At 46.7% G+C, this 19,099-nt stretch overlaps 1 long non-coding RNA gene across 1 annotated transcript; it reads left to right on the forward strand.

Annotated features, from left to right (window-relative positions):
- Positions 1–398: 398 nt before the first annotated feature.
- On the forward strand, positions 399–18,743 carry LOC105374257 (uncharacterized). The gene is made up of 3 exons (XR_001741051.3): positions 399–3,681; positions 5,425–5,574; positions 18,459–18,743. It is a non-coding gene; the product is annotated as an uncharacterized LOC105374257 (long non-coding RNA).
- The last annotated feature ends 356 nt before the right edge of the window (positions 18,744–19,099 follow it).

Genomic DNA, 19,099 nt, shown 5'->3' on the forward strand with positions numbered 1-19,099 from the left:
TTCACACGGGACTTGTTCCTTCGCCTTGCCATCTGTGGGCTCTCACTAGAGATAGGCAGAGCTGTGAGTGCCAAAGGTTTAACAAAAATTGATGGGAAAAACTTAACATTGAGAAAATTGTATCTTTGAGCATAATTTGGACAAGCTTCCACTATTCTATTTTAGTGAAGGAACATTTCTTTCCAACTTCGGAGTGCCACTGAAGTTCAGTCTGCAGGGAGAGCTGGGTTGGGTGCTGGGGTTAGGGTGGGAGTAGGTGGGATGGGGTGGGGGTGAGGGAGGTGAGTTTGGAGGAAGTTGGGTAGGGGCTGTGTATTGGGGATCTGAGGAATTTGGGTCTGATTCTTCAAGCCATGGTAAGTTGTAGAGTAAAGGAGTGACAAATGGAAGGGGGAAATTTGGGAACGACAAACCTGATGAGGGTGAAGGGTAGGTTGAAGTGCATCATAGCAGAGAGGTGAGAGAAAGAGAGCACAGACCTGGCTGAAGAGATGGGGGATCAGAAAAAGCATTCTTCAGATGCCTTCTTGTCCCGGCTCAGAACACCCCAAAGCTCAGAGGAACAGGACTGGGTTCACAAGGAAGAACAGGGAAGCTGTCTGGGCTATCAACACTCTTCAGTGTCTTGGAATCAACCCAGCATGTCCTGCTGCTGCTGCTTTCTGCCTCTGCTAGCTTGGATCCGGTAGGAAGAACAGAGTTTTACATTCCTTCAGTGAGTAATTGACAAAGCTCCACACCAGGTGTGAGTGGGGGGGTGGGGAGGCTCATATTTGCTCCTCCCCTGACTTCTTCCCCACCCTCCCTCCTTCTAGGCACACCAGGGATTTGTTCATCAGGGCTGATCTTGAATGGTGGAGATAGATTCAAGCCATTTTGAGCCCAGGTCCAGGGTAAACAAGTAACAGAATCCTGTAGGCTGTTACATTTGTTGTTTTAAAAAGACTTGGTACATTATTTGTAAGGGAGTGCCGTGGGAAGTAAAATAGTTCTTTCAGCTGGCAGGCATGCCTATCTGTCATGATACTTAAAAAAAATTAAACTTATGGCCTAATTCCAATCAGAGAGGTTTCAGATATTTAATAATCTCATTTGTTACAGTTTCTCCAAAAGCATTTGTTTTTGTTAAGTTTTAAAATCAATCTTCTCCATTCACCCTAATTGGGAGTTACAAAGACATTTTAAATTGTAAAATCATTCTATATCCATTGTATACAGTTAGGGAAATATAAAAAATAATTACAAATAAACTAAACATCCATCATTCTAGAAATGAATACTGTTAACATTTAAGCATATTTCCTCCCTGTCTTTTTTTCTTGCTGTTTTACATAATGGAGATTTTAAAAGATAAAAAGCTTTGTATTTTTTCCTAGTATTATGTCATAGGAGTGGCTCTAGGTTATTAAACATTCTTCAAAAACTCAATTTTTAAAGTTTGCTTAGTATGTCTTCTTATAGCTATAATATGATTTGCTTGTTTCCCTAATGTTGATTGAGTATTAGGCTGTTTCCAATTTTTTGAGGTTAAAAAAAACACTACCGTGAATATCTTTGTGTGTGTGTGTGTGTGTGTGTGTGTGTGTTTGTGTGTGTTTTAGTATAGGTATGACAGTAGGCGATCTGGCTACATTCTGTTGCCTATTTTAGATGGGGATAGGACTGCCCCCTTGCCATTATGAATGACAGCTGTCAGCCAAAGAGAGGGCTGCGCTAGAGACTGTCAATCTGGCTCCTGGGAGAAGGGATAACACTCAGCACAGGAATGTTGTAAACACGTTAGGGAGGTCTTGCAATTCCACTTTGAAATGGAGGAACCTAAACTACAATCCATTTTCACATGAGGTCGGGTTTGTTCAGGGTGGTATGGCCATAGATAACAATCCATTTTCAAAGGAAACAGAGGTTTTCAAAAAGCCTTTTGAATGGACTGGGCTAGTATTGTGTGATTTTTAAATTAAATTACACATGTTAAAAATGGGCGATCTAATGAAATAGAGAATAGAGGTTACTTTGAATGATAAACTAGTAGGAATAGTATTCGTGAAGTTCCAGGCAGGCTGACTTCCTTGGTGAGTTCACCGGGGTGACAGGACGAGTGTTGGAGTTGGCAAAGCAGAATTCTAATACCAGCTGGGCCATATTGGGCAGGTTGCTTGATGTCTCTGAGCCTCAGATTCCCCACTAACAAAATGAGGCTGATAATGACACTAATATTTCTCACCTGCAGTTTGTTGTTGAGAGGATTTAAACACCAAGGGAGGATCAGTAAATGGCAGCTAAGGCTGTGCCCTAAGGGATGGCTGAGGCTTGTTCTTAACCCAGAATTCAAAATAGGCCTGCCTGACCTCAGGACAGCGCAACACAAGAGACTTGCACGTACAGAACATGGATGTAAAGAGGGAATCCTGGGTTATAGTTTCAGAATCCACTGTGGGGATCTTAAACCCTCTCTCTTCAGCCTTTAATAAATGATTTAATTTGCACACTGGACAGTTCAACACTATTTTTTTTTTTTTTTTTTTTTTGCCCCAGCCTGTGAAAAGGGACGGGGTTGGGCTAAGGCAACGTTGAAACATTGCATTCCTCTGCCAGAAGCTTAAAAACCCTGCAATCAAACCCGAGGCCCTATGCGGAAACAAGTGTATCCGATGACAGCTTATTATGGAAGGTTCTGAACTTCTAAGAATTCCTTAGTAGGAGACAAACAAAATACAAAGATATCCTCCTAATTTTCTGCGACTGGGAATTTTTGTTTTTCTCTTCCTCACTTCTCCCATCCATTCTGCATGTTTGTTAAAATGTAGGCACACAGGGTCCACGGTGTGTGGTACTTGAGTGGGCAAAAGGCTAGTTCAGCTGGCCAGCGAGGCAGACAAGACGTGGTTCAACACACGCATTGCTGGGAGCTGGGACTTCTCCTTCATTAGTTAAACATGGGCATGAAGTAAAGATTTCTGGTGTGTGTGTCTGTGTGTTTTCAAACGGCAGGTTCAGCACTTCTAAGTACATAGCATGATAGGAAGAGAAGTCTGTAATCACCTCTCATGTCTGGGGTCCTGATGGGCCCAGAGCAGATTTGATTTACGTTATCTTCAAGCGGGAAACTTGTCATCCAGTCTTCATTTGCCCTTCTCTCTGGGCAGGAAAGAGCTCCATTTTTCCCGCTCCACAGAGGACATTTTATTTTTGCAGTTCTTTGAAGTGCCCTCAGAGATCTAAGCACCAGGCTGAAGGCAGCTCTGTGTATCCTTGCAACAGATTAGAACATATTCACATTTTATTTGCTCACAGAACAAATATTTCCCTTGGAATGAGACCGAGGCAGTGGAGCAGGACCAGGCAGGACCAGCCACCAAAGACGGCCCCCCAGGCCCCATGCTGGGCCTGCTCAGCGCCTGCACAATTGGTTCCACATAATTGCTTCTCCACACTCACCTCATTTAGGCCCTATAGACACATATGGGCTGATTAGTTGAGTCATTTATTGATTCAGGAATATTTGTCGAGCCTCAACAATGTACCAAACACTATGCTGGTTACAGAAATAAAGAGAGAAACACATTCTGTCCTCAAGGGGCTCCTAATCAAGTAGGGGAGAGAAGCAATGTCTGTATATTAATGAATCAAATCAAGGTGACAAAGATAAGGCTTCAGAACCCAGGAGACAAAGTGTTTGAGGTAGGTCATTATTCTGTCTGTGTGTTGCGGGGTGTGTGGGCAAGGGTGAGGCGTGTGGGGTGGTGTGGATATGGTGTGCATGGGCCTCTGTGTGTGTAGGTTATGTGTATGTGGTGTGTGTGGTGTGGGGAGTGTGTTTGTGTATGGGAGTGTGTATGTGTCTGTGGTGACAGTGGTGAATATGTGTGTGGGTATGGTAGTGATGGTACTAGGTGGTGTTTAGTGCATGTCCTGTGAGAATTGTGTGTAGGTATAGGGATGTGTGTGTATAGTGGTGATGGTGGTGTGTGGTGTGGGGGGGTGTGTGTGGTGGAGAGAGTGTGTGTATGAGAGTGTGTATGTAGTGAGTGATGGTGGTGAATGTGTGTAGTGGTGATGGTGGTGTTTGTGTGGTGTGGGGTGTGTGTGTGTAGTGGTGATGGTGGTGTTTGTGTGGTGTGGGGGGTGTGTGTGTGTGGTGAGTGGTGGTGAATGTGTGTGTAGTGGTGATGGTATGTGTGGTGTGGGGGGTGTGTGTGGGGGGTGAGTGGTGGTGGTGTATGTTTGGTGTGTGTGGTGTGTGTGTGTGGTGAGTGGTGGTGAATGTGTGTGTGTAGTGGTGACGGTATGTGTGGTGTGGGGTGAGTGGTGATGGTGGTTGTGTGGTGTGTGTGTGTGTGTGTGGTGAGTGGTGGTGAATGTGTGTGTGTAGTGGTGACGGTATGTGTGGTGTGGGGTGAGTGGTGATGGTTGTGTGGTGTGTGTGTGTGTGTGTGTGGTGAGGTGGTGGTAAATGTGTGTGTAGTGGTGATGGTATGTTTGTGTGGTGTGGTGTGTGTGTGTGTGGAGTGGTGGTGAATGTGTGTGTGTAGTGGTGATGGTATGTGTGGTGTGGGGGTGTGTGTGTGTGTGGTGAGTGGTGGTGGTGAATATGTGTGTGTAGTGGTGATGGTGGTATGTTTGTGTGGTGTGTGTGTGGTGTGGGGTGTGTGTGTGTGGTGAGTGGTGGGGTGGTGGTGAATGTGTGTGTAGTGGTGATGGTATGTTTGTGTGGTGTGGTGTGTGTGTGTGTGGAGTGGTGGTGAATGTGTGTGTGTAGTGGTGATGGTATGTGTGGTGTGGGGGGTGTGTGTGTGGTGAGTGGTGGTGGTGAATATGTGTGTGTAGTGGTGATGGTGGTATGTTTGTGTGGTGTGTGTGTGGTGTGGGGTGTGTGTGTGTGGTGAGTGGTGGGGTGGTGGTGAATGTGTGTAGTGGTGATGGTGGTGTTTGTGTGGTGTGGGGGGTGTTTGTGTGGTGTGGGGTGTGTGTGTGTAGTGGTGATGGTGGTGTTTGTGTGGTGTGGGGGGTGTTTGTGTGGTGTGGGGTGTGTGTGCGTGGTGAGTGGTGGTGGTGAATGTGTGTATAGTGGTGATGGTGTTTGTGTGGTGCGGGGTGTGTGTGTGTAGTGGTGATGGTGGTGTTTGTGTGGTGTGGGGGGTGTGTGTGTGTGTGTGGTGTGGGGTGTGTGTGTGTGGTGAGTGGTGGTGGTGAATGTGTGTGTGGTAGTGATGGGGCAGGCTGAGGGCTGAGCCAGAGAAGGCATGGAGATGAGACAACTCCAGAGGGTATGTAAGGGGAGGTGAGTGGTGGGAGGTGAGCTAGGAAGGCATTTTTAATGTTGACCCATACTCTCTAATCAAGACAATGACAGTTTTGCAGCTGTTCCTCTTCCTAAGCTCATGTGAGGATTTTGGGTTAGAATCACTGTGTTCTTCTCCGCAGGCCGAAGCTCCCTAGCGCTGGGGCCTCCACTCTGGGAAGGGCCCTGTGGGTGAATCTCTGAGCGTTTACTGGGCTCCTTCTCTACCTGGGCTGCCGCACCCAGAACAGTTCTTAGAGTTTCCAGCCTCCTGAGCTCGCGGAATAGCAAAGGTGGGTTCTACTGGACTTGGGGCAGAGGAGGTCTAAATGTGAGAATCCCTGAGGCAAATGTTAGAAGAAAGGGCAGTGCGGCCGGGCAGGGGATCTCCAGCTCTCTCACAATGCATGGCTGCCCTGGCTAGATCTGGGCTGTGTGGAGCTGTTTAAACAACGAACAAGGGGCCAGGCACGGTGGCTCACGCCTGTAATCCCAGCACTTTGGGAGGCCAAGGCGGGATGGATCACCCGAGTTCAGGAGTTTGAGACCAGTCTGGCCTATGTGGTAAAACCCCGTCTCTACTAAAAATACAAAAATTAGCTGGGCGTGGTGGCGCATACCTGTAATCCCAGCTACTCGGAAGGCGGAGGCAGGGGAATTGCTTGAACCCGGGAGGCGGAGGTTGCAGTGAGCCAAGATCATGCCACTGCACCCCAGCCTGGGCGATAACAGCGAGACTCCGTCTCAAAAAAGAAAACAACAACAGCAACAAACGAATAAGGAGGCAGATGTCAGGGGTTGGCTTTCTTCCCCAAATTTTGGTTTGCTTTTTGTTACTCTCCCCTTACTGGATAGGGTCAAAGCTGCCTCATGATTAAGTGTTGGCCAGATAAGAATGATTTATTTCCATTTTACTAGACAGGGACTGGAAACACAGAAAGTCTAAAGATTGCAAGATACTAGTCATGTTGTCTCAGGTCATTTTCGTGGTTACCTGTGAGGTAAAGGTTTTCTGGTATCGTCCCCATTTGACAAATGGGGAAATTAGGGCTGAGAGAGGTAAAGTCACTAGCACAAAACCACTCAAGCTTTTCCGTGAGTTCCTCATCACTGATTGTCTAACTGAAATTTGAACCCAAGTCTTTTTGGCACCAAAGACCATGTTTTTTTCATAATGCTTCCTGAAGTTTATGAGGCAGCATGGTTTGGCTAAATGATGGTGGTTTTCTTCTTTTTTCTTTTTTTTTTTTTTTTTTGAGACGGAGTTTTGCTCTTGTTGCCCAGGCTGGAGTGCAATGGCACCATCTCAGCTCACTGCAATCTCCGCCTCCCAGGTTCAAGCAATTCTCGTGCCTCAGCCTCCTGAATAGCTATAATTAACAGGCATGGGCCACCACACCCAGCTAATTTTGTATTTTTAGTAGACACAGGGTTTCTCCCTGTTGGTCAGGCTGGTCTCAAACTCTCGCCCTCAGGCAGTCCACCCGCCTTGTCCTCCCAAAGTGCTGGGATTACAGGTGTGAGCCACTGTGCCCGGCTGATGGTGGGTTTTATCGTTGCATAGGAATAGGTTTAAACCCAAGTTCTCCTCCGTGCTGGTTAGGTGCGTGACCTTGCATTCTTTCCTTCCTTGCTCCCTTGTGAAGTGTTAATTGAGGCCTATTATATCCGTGTCAAGCACTCTGCTGGGGTCTGGGAACATACCAGGTAACTTCACAGTCCTTGCCCATCCAAGGCTTCCAGCCGGATGAATAATTCAGACAATGAAATAGGCAAGTACAATGTAGTTTGAGAAGTGCTATGATGGGAAGCCTCAGGTGCTCTCTGTCCAATAAAATGCTACTAACCACAGCCCAGTGCTATCAGTGTAAAATGCCTGCAGGATTTTGAAGACTTAGTGCAAAAAAATAATGTTAAGCTCTTCATTAATAATGTCTTATATTGATTACATGTTGAAATGATTATTTATGGGATATGTTGAGTTTAAAACTACTTCATTCAAATTAATTTCACCTGTTCCTTTTTATTCCTTGTATGTGGTTATTAGAAAATTTAAACTTAGGCCAGGCACGGTGGCTCATGCCTATAATCTCAGCACTTTGGGAGGCTAAGGCGGGTGGATCATTTGAGGTCTGGAGTTTGAGACCAGCCTGACCAACATGGAAAAACTCTGTCTCTACTAAAAATACAAACAAATTAGCCAGGCGTGGTAGCGCATGCCTGTAGTCCCAGATACTGAGGAGGCTGAGGCAGGAGAATCGCTTGAACATGGGAGGTGGAGGTTGCAATGAGCCGAGATCACACCACTGCCCTCCAGCCTGAGCAACAGAGCGAGACACCATCTCAAAAAAAAAAAAAAAACAAAAAAAAAACAAAAAAAAAAACACAACAAAAAAACAAATTTAAACTTACATATGTGGCTCACATTGTATTTCTAAGGGACAGCGCTGCTGTGGAAGAATAAAAGCATGCAGACATTTCCTATCTTAATGCAACAACCAAAGAACATTTATCCTGTGACCTCCCCAGGAAGGCACACAAGAGATGCTTAGCAAGTAGGAGCTTCTTTCCCTCCACACATGGTTTAAGAGGCTGTTGTTTATTGTGGAACCCTCAGTCCTCTGGTACTGTGGAGAAGGTATCAGGTGACATGGCTGCAGAGCTTGTTCAGCCCCCTCGAGGATTCCTTTGGGTCCTATATCTTGAGAAGTAGCTGTCGTAACCCATCTCCCCATGCCCCCCGAAAAACCCATGGCTGACAGATGAAATAAATGTTGCTTGTTGCCATGGCCCCTAGGTATCTTTGCTTTTCTTTATTTTAGCAAAAGGAAGTCATGTTAAATATTTCAGGAGAGTCTGATTTTCAGTATCTTCATTGGATTGAAAAAGACAAGGCACATTGGGTTAATGATAAGGCCTTATCTGCCCATTAGATTCATAGAACTGGGAAGGGTCTTGGGAATTGACTAGTCCCACTTCTGACCCTCCTTCTCAGAAAGTGAAGCTCACAGAGGCTAAGGGGCTTGCCTAGGGTAACAGAGCCAACCAAGGTTCTCAGCGACTGGAACCCAGTCTTTCCATCCCCCACTTCCACATGCAGCCGTCATTCCGCCCTGCCCATTCTTTTCTAAGATGCTCCCTTTTCTGCTCCTCTCGCCCAAAGTCTCCTCCTGTTTTGTGCCCCATCCTCTTCTGCTGCCTTCTCTCTCTCTGACCCGGTGTCTTTTCTTTAATACAACAGACAACAGAAACAGGTGTCAAAAAGAGATAGGCGCCGGGCACAGTGGCTCACGACTGTAATCCAGCACTTTGGGAGGCCGAGGCAGGCGAATCATGAGGTCAGGAGATCAAGACCATCCTGGCCATGGTGAAACCCGTCTCTACTAAAAAAACAAAAATTAGCTGGGCATGGTGGCATGTGCCTGTAGTCCCAGCTACTTGGGAGGCTAAGGCAAGAGAATAGCTTGAACCAGGGAGTTGGAGGTTGCAGTGAGCCAAAATCGCACCACTGCACTCCAGCCTGGCGACAGAGCAAGACTCCATCTCAAAAAAAAAAAAAAAAGACATAGGCAAGTTAAAGGATAGGCAGAAGTTAACATGACAAAATGGAACAGAAAAAAGACTCTGATTTTGAATAGACATGAACAAATGAAGCCAGGGAGATTTTCGTGGGCCTTAATAATGGTTCAGGGCTGGGCGTGGTGGCTCACGCCTGTAATCCCAGCACTTTGGGAGGCTGAGGTGGGTGGATAACCTGGAGTCAGGAGTTCGAGACCAGCCTGGCCAACACGGAGAAACCCCATCTCTACTAAAAATACAAAAAATTAGCCGGGCGTGGAGGCCTGTGCCTGTAATACAAGCTACTAGGGAGGCTGAAGCAGGAGAATCGCTTGAACCCGCGAGGTGGACGTTTCAGTGAGCTGAGAGCATGTCATTGCACTCCAGCCTGGGCAACAAGAGCAAAAGTCTCAATAAATACATAAATGACCATGGTTCAGGTGAAAAGGCAGCCTGGGTGTGTTTGGAGGAGCATGGATTTGGAATCACAGGCTCAGGGCTTGAGGGCTGGCCATGAGGCCTTGGAAAACCATAGTTTCCTCCTCTTCAGTCAACTTCACCGGGTTGTTGCGAGCGGCAAATAGGAGCATGTTTCTGAAATGGTTTTGTCATCTCTGAGACGTCATACCAGTGGTGGTTATTATCATTCCTACGAGGCTTGGAGATGTTGTTGGCTATGAGAGCAGGATGAAATAGCAGAGTGATATGGTTGCCAAAGAAAGCTAATGTGGTATCGACAGCAAGGGATGCGACTCTCCACTTGACCATCCATTTCTGGGGCATTATGCTGTGTTCAGTTCCGGGAATTGCCTTTTAAAAGGAACTTTGGCAAACTGTTGTTGTTCCAGAGAAAATCGCAAGAATAGCTTAGGGTTTGAGAGTTATGACATATAAGGGATGATTTAAGGATTTGGAGGATGTTTAGTCTGGAGGAAAAAAAAAATAAAGACTTAGCTAGAATGAGGTAGCTCTTTCCAAATATCTGCAAGTTGTCCTGCAGAAGAGAGGAAAGATTCATTCTGTGTTGCTAGTGGCCAAGCCAGGGCCCAATGATGGGAGTTAATAGGAGGCAGATTTGGATGCCATTGGAGCCTATCTAAAACTCAGACAGTTGTTCCCAGATGGACTTCCTGGGAAAGTGGTGAACTGTCCATAAGTGGAAGTCTTCAAGCAAAGGGGGCTGTTTCTGGGGACAGGGTGCTGTGAAGAGAAGTCCTGCTCTGGCTGAGAGGTTGAACCAAGTGTTCTCTGTAATCCCGCCAATTCTGAGACCACGATTGTCTGCTTCTGCTCTCTCTGATCTTTCTTGCTGATCTGCTTCCTTCACCGTTTTTGATGCCTTTGTTGACTGTCTGCTCCTTCTGAGAATGCTTTAAGGTTTTAGATTCAGAAATATTTCTGTAATCATTGATAGTCCAGTGTAACGGAAAGTAGGAAGGAGGAACATTTAAGAACAAAGGCAGTGTTGTTACTTTGATGGACACACAGTAACCTGTTAAGTGGGGGTAGAAGCAGAAACATGGTGGTGTGTGTTAGGGAGTCTTGTAAATACTACAGCAAACGAATAGGCATCTCTTATTCTTAGCTATTGTTTAAAATGCAAACACAACTGCTAAAGACCTTTGTTCTTGAATGGACCAGCATTTTCCTTGTTTATACAATTCTTTTGTTAGCTACAGAGATTCAAGAAAATTCTCACTATAAGAATTCTAGATCATAAACTGCTTTCCAGACTCATAATGTAAGTGCTTTGCTGATTTGGTTATATCAAATTCTGTACAGGAGGTGTTTTCATGATTTCTCGACTTCAGAAAAGCCATTTTCTTGAGGAAAATATTTTTCACGCATAGTTAGTGTTGCAGCTGGGAGAGTAAGAGGCTAGCTGAATCTCTGCAGTTGAGTGGGCAGCTGAGCTATTTCCAGGATTTTGTTCTGCCCCCAAGTAGCAATTATGCATCTGTCTCACAGTGCTCCACCTCAGACATCCCAACCATTATTTCAGAAACCTCCACCTAGACTCGAAGGCACAAAATAGAACTCAGCAGATCCAGGTGGAAGGAGGAGGGAATGGGTAGGAATGAGTAACATTTTGGTCAGATTCCCTGAGGTCAGAGTCCTCGCCCAGTCCCGAGGATGACAGCAGAGACATGGAGAAAACTGTGGATCAGGGCGTGAGTTCCAATGCTTTGGGAGCCTTGTTGGTCCACTGTGGCAGGAAGAGCCTAGAGAGACAACAGTAATGGTTCTTCAGATCTGGGGGACTGGCCAGTTGGGCCAGGCTGGGCAGGGTGGTGGGGTGCTGAAGAGGCAGCAGCAATCTGTAGGAGCTGCAGCGTCCATAGTCATCCTGTGAGACTGCTGCCCTATTGCAGACCCAGTCTCTGAGGCTGCTGTGTTGAACCCACATCCTGTTGCCTTAGCTCCACCTTGGTGTGCCCTTGAACCCTGGGCTCAGGACAGCTTCAGCCTGGAGACCAGCAGGTGGATTTGCTCTTGGATCTACATTCTGGAGAGAGGGACCAGCCAACTCTGATTGAAGCCCAGCCCACAGCCTTACTCCCCACTCATTCTTTTTTTTTTTGAGACAGAGTCTTGCTCTGTTGCCCAGGCTGGAGTGCAGTGGCACGATCTCGGCTCACTGCAACCTCCGCCTCCAGGGTTCAAGTGATTCTCTTGCCTCAGCCTCCTGAGTAGCTGGGATTACAGGCACCCACCACCATGCCTGGCTATTTTTTGTGTTTTTAGTAGAGATAGAGTTTCATCACGTTTGCCAGGCTGGTGTCAAGCTCCTGACCTCAGGCGATCCACCCGCCTCGGCCTCCCAAAATGCTGGGATTATAGGCGCGAGCCACCTTGCCCAGCCCCCACTCATTCTTTTATTCCAGACCTGCTTCCTCACCAGTCTCTTATGTCTAGGGGTTCTCTTCTATAAGCTCTGGTTTCTGAGCTTATAGAAGTCTGGGAAAATGGAGTCTGGGAATGGAAGGGACTTCTTACCGAGTCATTTTAAAATGCTGACTTGTCTCTGTCCTTCCAAAGTAGTCCTGCTGTCCCTGCATGGAGTGATGCAATGGTTCTCAAACTTCTGTGGGCATGAGACAGCCCCAGCTTTTAAAATACCAGATGTCAGAGGCCCATTCTCAGACATCATGATGAGGGAGAGCTGGGTGGGCCCTGGAAATCTGGAGCCCAGGTGTTTCTGATGCAAGCAGTCCCACACTTAGAGAAACATTAGAGGAAAGAACATGAATTTTGGGGTCTGAGAGAGACAGAACTGGGTTACTTATTGTGTTATGTGTTGAGCAAGTTAATCACCATTTTTGAGCCTCCTGTTTCATTATCTATAAAATGCTGACCACGTCTCAGGGGAGACGTCGGTGTGAAGATGTATATAAAGTGTTTAGCTGGGGCTTTTAAAAAATTTTATTTTACTTTAAGTTCTGGGATACATGTGCAGAATGTGCGGGTTTGTTACATAGGTATACATGTGTCATGATGGTTAGCTGCACCTATCAACCCGTCATCTAGGTTTTAAGCCCCACAGGCAGGGGTATTTTTCCTAATGCTCTCCCTCTCCTTGCCCCCCACCACTCAACAGGCCCCAATGTGTGATATTCCCCTCCCTGTGTCCACGTGTTCTCATTGTTCAACTCTCTGGAGCTTATTAAATAGGGCTTTTGGCTCTCTCTCCCCCTCCTTCAACACCAGGAAATTGGCAACAGAGAATTTCAACCCCTCCTAAACCTGACACATCAGTGGTGCCTCTCTAGCAGCGTGCACCTGTGGAATGGTCACAGAAGTGTCTGGAGGAGCACGTACATCCCCAGAGCATGAATGGCCAATCCTGATTTCACAAGCAATGGCATGAAATGACCAGGAGGTCAGAGGTCAGCCACCTGCTGTCATTTTTATTTGCAGTAAACCACAGAGTCAGGACATACACATATACAGTGCATTACAGAGCAAGTCCACGGCACTCTATGCAGGCAGATGAGCAGTCTCGAGCAGGCGACCACTGTTACAGAATAACACATCTAGGGTGGGGGAGGCAGTGGAAGTGGAAGAGCAAGAAAGGAAGGATCTGGATCCTGGTCCTGTGCTTTTAGTTAGCTACTGCCCCAATCATGGCTGGTAAAGTCTGCATTTCTGCACTGCAATGGAGGTGTGTTAGGACCTTTAGCTTCAACCTGTGCCCAGGGTCATCCCTAAACACTGAGGTTTAGCTGAGTTCCGTAAGTGGAAGCAGTGCTTCTCCACTGTGGGACTGAATTCTCTCCCAGCACACTGGCAATTCAAGAGGGCAAAAGAGGTTTGATACATGGAAGGGAAAATACTTATATTTCAGGGTTCCTGTATGTGTCTGTGTCAGTGTATGTGTATGGGTGTGTGTAGAGGTAGAGAGCTTACCTAAGAGTTTCTTTGTAGTGTTTCTTTCATGTTGGATGCCCCCCACCCCCAAATTAGCTGATTTCTGAGCATGATCAGTCAATGAGGGAAGGAAAGTAGATTCTTGGCAGAGGGGCTAGGAGTGGCCCTCCTGGGTCAGCAGGGCTTGGAGAAACCTTGGGCCTGGTGGGAGACCCATGAGGACAAAGACCCTACCTCCTCTCCTATGGCTGTGGCATTTACCCAAAGTGAAGCAAGATCGCTACAGCAGGAAGGTCGTTAGAGCACCCCCTTGTTTGACAGATACAGAAAAACAGGTCCCAGAAGCCTATAGGGCGTGTTCAAGACCCTGTAAATGAGACAGGACTGAAGCCCACTCCGTGTGCTGCTCTTGTTTTCCCAGGCAGGGTTTCGGGCCTTATCCTAACATGGGATGTGGAATGATTCCCTTCCACAGCAGCCTCTATGGAGCATTTGCCAGACTTCCCCAAGATAGAAGGTTCTTACTTGTTTTCTACAGAGAGAGAAAATCATCCATCAGGAACCCCTTAGCAAGTGGTTTCTTGGAATTATGACTGTTTGCTAATAATAACACTTTCTCTGAGATACCCACCGAACTTTGAGGTTGATGGTACAGAGAAGCATAAAGGCATAAAACTTCTTCCCATTCTATGGAAGAGGACAGCTGTGCTGTAAGCTGGGTCAGCAACTTGCTGTAAATCCTCTTCTCTTTAGTTGAGTTGTCTGCCTCTTGCCATCTGAAGAAGGCAGAAAGAAAATGTGGCACGTTTTGAAATCTGCCTCCTTGTCAAGCGACCCACACACTAGACCACACTGTCTCTATTAAGACCGTAGACTACCTCAGCAGGTTAGCACAGACCAAAAAGGGCATCAGGCCCTGTCCAGGTGAACACCTGCCTTGCCTCCTATCCAGGGTCCTGGGAGAGTTGCTTTGAAGGAATTTTTTATATGCTGATGGAAGAACCAGTACTGAATGACCGCCATCTGTTATTCAGCTGTAATCAGCAGAGACAGACTTTGTGCTATGCTGGCTGCCAACTCTGCATAAAAGGTTGGACTTGATAACATCTAAGGAAGGGCCTTTCCAACCTAAGGGGGCTATGATTTTAGAACTCCTTGCTCGTGGACTGTTCATGTTAATTGAGATAGTTTGTTAGAAACTGTGAGTCCAGTAGGGTCGTGCTTGTTGGTTTTTTGCTATTTGTTCTGTCTTTGTTAATTTTACAGAAGCCCAATCCAGCTAACTGCCATAGCCTCTAGTCCATTCTGTGTTCCTGGATCTGGTTTTACATTGAAACTGTGGTTGTTATGGCCTGGGATGTTCCACTATGTCACTATGGGTTAAACTTCCCCACAGTTCTCTCTCACAAAGGTGCTTTATGTCTGTGATGTGACTCAAGAGGTAAAGAGAAAAAGGAGAGTAGTATTGAACAGAGGGGTTTAAGTTAGACGTTGAGGCCATTTTTTAATGGAAGAAGTTGTGAGATGCTGGAGTGCATCCTGAAATTGGGCTTGGAGTATGCCCTCTGATCTTTCCTGGGCCTTTTAAGCACAGGTTTGCCTGGAGGTAACAAAGTGGGCAGATGGCCCCTTAAAACCCTTTTCTAATCCTCTGATTTTATGTATGAACATTCTAAAAATAGAACCATGCTGGGGTGGGGGAGGGTGCAGAGAGTGAAGAAAAATATGAAAATAAAAGAAAAAAGCTGAAGAAGCAGACTCTGGGTGTGGGTAGAGGTTGAGAAAAGCAGAATGTGATGGGAAAAGATGGAGAAAAAGTAATAGAACTGCATTGCGACATATTAAGAGATTAGGGTGCAGTGCCTGACAGATTGACATTCTTTTTTTTTTTTTTTTTTTTTGAGACAGAGTCTCTTTCTGTTGCCCAGGCTTGAGTGTAGTGGCGAGATCTCAGCTCACTGCAACCTCTGCCTCTTGGGCTCAGACGATTCTCCTGCCTCAGCCTCCTGAGTAGCTGGGATTACAGGTGTGAGTCACTACGCCCAGCTAATTTTTTTATTTTTAGTAGAGATGGTGTTTCACTATGTTGGCCAGGCTGGTCTTGAACTCCTGACCTCAGGTAATCCTCCCGCCTCGGCCTCCCAAAGTGCTAGGATTACAGGTGTGAGCCACTGTGCCCAGCCCAGATAGACATTCTTTTTTTTTTTTTTTTTTTTTTTTTCTTGAGACGGAGTCTCGCTTTGTTGCCCAGGCTGGAGTGCAGCGGTGCAATCTCGGCTCACTGCAAGCTCCACCTCCCAGGTTCACGCCATTCTCCTTGCCTCAGCCTCCCCAGTAGCTGAGATTACAGGCTACAGGCGCGCGTCACCACACCCACCTAATTTTTGCATTTTTAGTAGAGATAGGGTTTCACCACATTGGCCAGGCTGGTCTTGAACACTTGACCTCAGGTGATCCTCTCGCCTCGGCCTCCCAAAGTGCTAAGATTACAGGCATGAGCCACCATGCCCAGCCCAGACAGACATTCTTTAAAAACAAAATATTCACTGATGAATCCATTAGTAAGTGTGTGAATCACCCTATCCAGCCCCATTTTACATGTAGGGAAAGTGAGCCGTAATATGACTTGCCCACATCCCTATTGCCAGTTGGTATGAAGGGAGCACCAGAATTGGCCTTGCGAGAGAAGTCCAGTGCTGAGTGGAGGGAGATGAGCACATTTCCCTGGACGAGGATGTGTGGGTAGGAAGTGCCCTCAGGATGTGGCTTCGAAGCTCAGGAAAGAGAATGAGAATGGCCACAGCTAAGGCCTGCGTCTTCCTTCCCTGGCCCTGCCTCAGAGCCCCAGGCCTGGAGTGACTGACGCGGCAGAAGGGAGCCGGGCACGGCAAAGGGCCTCATGCGTTTCCTTTCCTTTCGTCAGTGGCAGTAGGAGAAACAAATCCTGTCATACAACCGTCCCTTCTCCTCTTGGGAGCCATGCAAAATATCCACTGAATTTGAAAGTTGGGTTCATGAATGGCTTTTCCTTGCTTTTTCTCTTTCCTCGTTTCTCTGAGTTCCTGAGTGTGGTTTCCAAAAGTTTCTCTTCTCCTTTAAGAAAATGGAGTCTGGGAATGGATGGGACTTCTCACCAAGTCAGTCGGAGGCAGGATGGATTTCTTGCAGATGACCTACCTTTGAGACTATCTGACAGATTTCCCTAAATGTCCTTTTATTTCCCCTTTGGGGGAAGATGGGAATTCTCATCGATTAGGTTGGTGCAAAGGTAATTACAGTTTTTGCCATTAAGAGTATAAGCAAAACAGCAATTACTTTTGCTCCAACCTAATATTTTGTCTTTCCCTCTGCCCTAGTCCCTGCTCACAAACATCTCAGAAAGGACCTTCGAGCTGGAGTCCTCCGAAATGTCACACAGGCGTGGCCCCCAGCTCCCACTCTGTTTCTATCCTTGCTCCCCTGTGGTAACCCACAGCGGTGTGGCCCCATCACAGAAAACAGCCGAGTGAAGGGGGCTCAGCACATTCAAGTGAGCTTTGTCTTTGGAATTCTTATTTTCCCCCTTAGGAAGTTGGGCCACTTTTAATCACTGGGAAATAGGAAGAAACTTTGTGCTTCCTCTTTCCTACTACAAAACGACTGATGAACAGTAGTACAAATAGGCCTCTCTGTTCTGAGGAGATAGAGAAACAAAAAGTCATGTTGCCTAGGCGAGGCAAGCACAAGTGTGCAGAGACCTAGCCCAGCATCCATCTCTGGGAAGGCCTGCCAAGAGCTCTTATATAAGCTGCAGTGAGCTCATGTGTTTGATCAGCAGATCCTGGGCTTCAGGGCCAGGGGTTAGGCTGGAGGAGGGAGCTTAGAAGAGATTGTGTTCTTCCAAAGAGGGGGCGATCTGGGAAGAAAACATGTTCCTACACTCAGAATGATGGAGGCAATTTTCATCTCTGTGCCGTCAACATAGACTTCCTTTTCTTCTGGTGTCAGTGTCAGGAGAAGAGAAGGTGATGCTTGGTGTTATGAACTCCATGGTGTGAGGAAAGGGGTGGCGAAGGGAGGGGTGGTGTTTAATGATTCAAAGGCGGGCAGATGCGCACTTGGGGTATGGATAAGAAAGCTTTCCTCTCGATGTGTAGGAAGTCAGGTAGGTGCCCGTGTAGCTCCACCGTGCACAGGCTGGGAATCTATCAGGCCTTGGTTTCTAGTTGTTACTTCTCCCTTAGGCTGTGCTTAAAATGGGAAACACGTTTCGTTCATTGACTGAGACAGGCTGAATATTCTGGCACCTGCTATCACTCATTTTTGCCTGCTTTTCTTTGGTTTGGCGGAATCACTGAGCTGGTAGACCTTTGCACCACCCACCTTGCCCACCATCTTGTCCGGAACATGTGCAGTCAGCCCATCCTGATCCCAGCAGCTACGCACAGAGCAAGTGGAATGATACCTGCTTTCCATACATTTTGCCTATTGAAAAATTCTCTCTTACCCTGCATAAATGAGCCAAAGCTTTTCAACCAGGCTTCCCAGATGTTCTCTCGGGGGTTGACACACTTCCAGATCAGTCCTGCCCTAGTGGAGGGGAGTATCTGTACATCACAGCAGCCTATCCACTCCCTGAGTCTAGCTTCCTATTCTTCACGTGATGGCACAATAACTAAAACTGTTTTTTAGCTGAATAAATAAATCTGCAGACATGGTGTTCTATTGTTTTACCTGTTCAAAATAATATTGTGCCCAACCACTCTGTAACTACTAATGCTTTAAACAGCTTTTTATTTCAGAATTAAGAACTTGCATTTTTCAGGTGAATTTCTTCTTCTTTCTTTCTTTTTTTTTTTTGAGACGGAGTTTTACTCTCAGGCTGGAGTGCAGTGGCACGATCTCGGCTCACTGCAACCTCCGCCTCCCGGGTTCAAGGGATTCTCCGGCCTCAGCCTCCTGAGTAGCTGGGATTACAGGCACGCACCACCACGCCCGGCTAATTTTTTTGTGTTTTTTCAGTAGAGATGGGGTTTCACCATATTGGGCCAGGTTGGTCTCGAACTCCTGACCTCAAGTGATCTGCCTGCCTTGGCCTCCCAAAGTGCTGGGATTACAGGCGTGAGCCACCGCTCCCGGACTTTCAGGTGAATTTCTGACTCCTCCAACTGTTTTGCATTTTTCTGTCTGGCATCATTAGTGCTTATAACACTTTCCGATTTAGTGTCTTTTGAGAATTTAGTTCATGGGCTGTTTGCTTTCCTGTTTCCAGAAGAATCAGAAATGTTTCAAATACAGCTAAGACCGTCTTTGGTTCCACCCAACACTTTCTCCTCATGAGTGATGGTAATGTCCTGATGAATTTCTGCTTGGAAACAACTGGACTCAGTCAGTTGAGAAATGACAGAGCTCATATGCACAACACCTTGAAGCCTTCCTTCAGCAATGCGGACGATACACACAACCTTCAACACTTCAGAGAGAATCCTCCGTGATGATGTATGCTCAAGTATTTTGGTGTGAGATGTCATGATACCTATAACTTACTTATTAAAAATTCAGGCCAGGCACAGTGGCTCATGCCTGTAATCCCAGCACTTTGGGAGGCTGAGGCGGGCAGATCACGAGGTCAGGAGATCGAGATCATCCTGGCTTACACGGTGAAACCCCGTCTCTACTAAAAATACAAAAAATTAGCTGGGCGTGGTGGTGGGTGCCTGTAGTCCCAGCTACTCGGGAGGCTGAGGCAGGAGAATGGCGTAAACCTGGGAGGCGGAGCTTGCAGTGATTCCCAGATCGCTCTACTGCACTCCAGCCTGGGCGACAGAGCAACACTCCATCTCAAAAAAAAAAAAAAAAAAAGAAAAAAAATTCAGTCAGAAAAAGATGAAACAGGGCAAAATGTTAACAACT

This window comes from Homo sapiens, chromosome 3, assembly GCF_000001405.40.
Source record: "Homo sapiens chromosome 3, GRCh38.p14 Primary Assembly".
Lineage (NCBI taxonomy): Eukaryota > Metazoa > Chordata > Mammalia > Primates > Hominidae > Homo > Homo sapiens.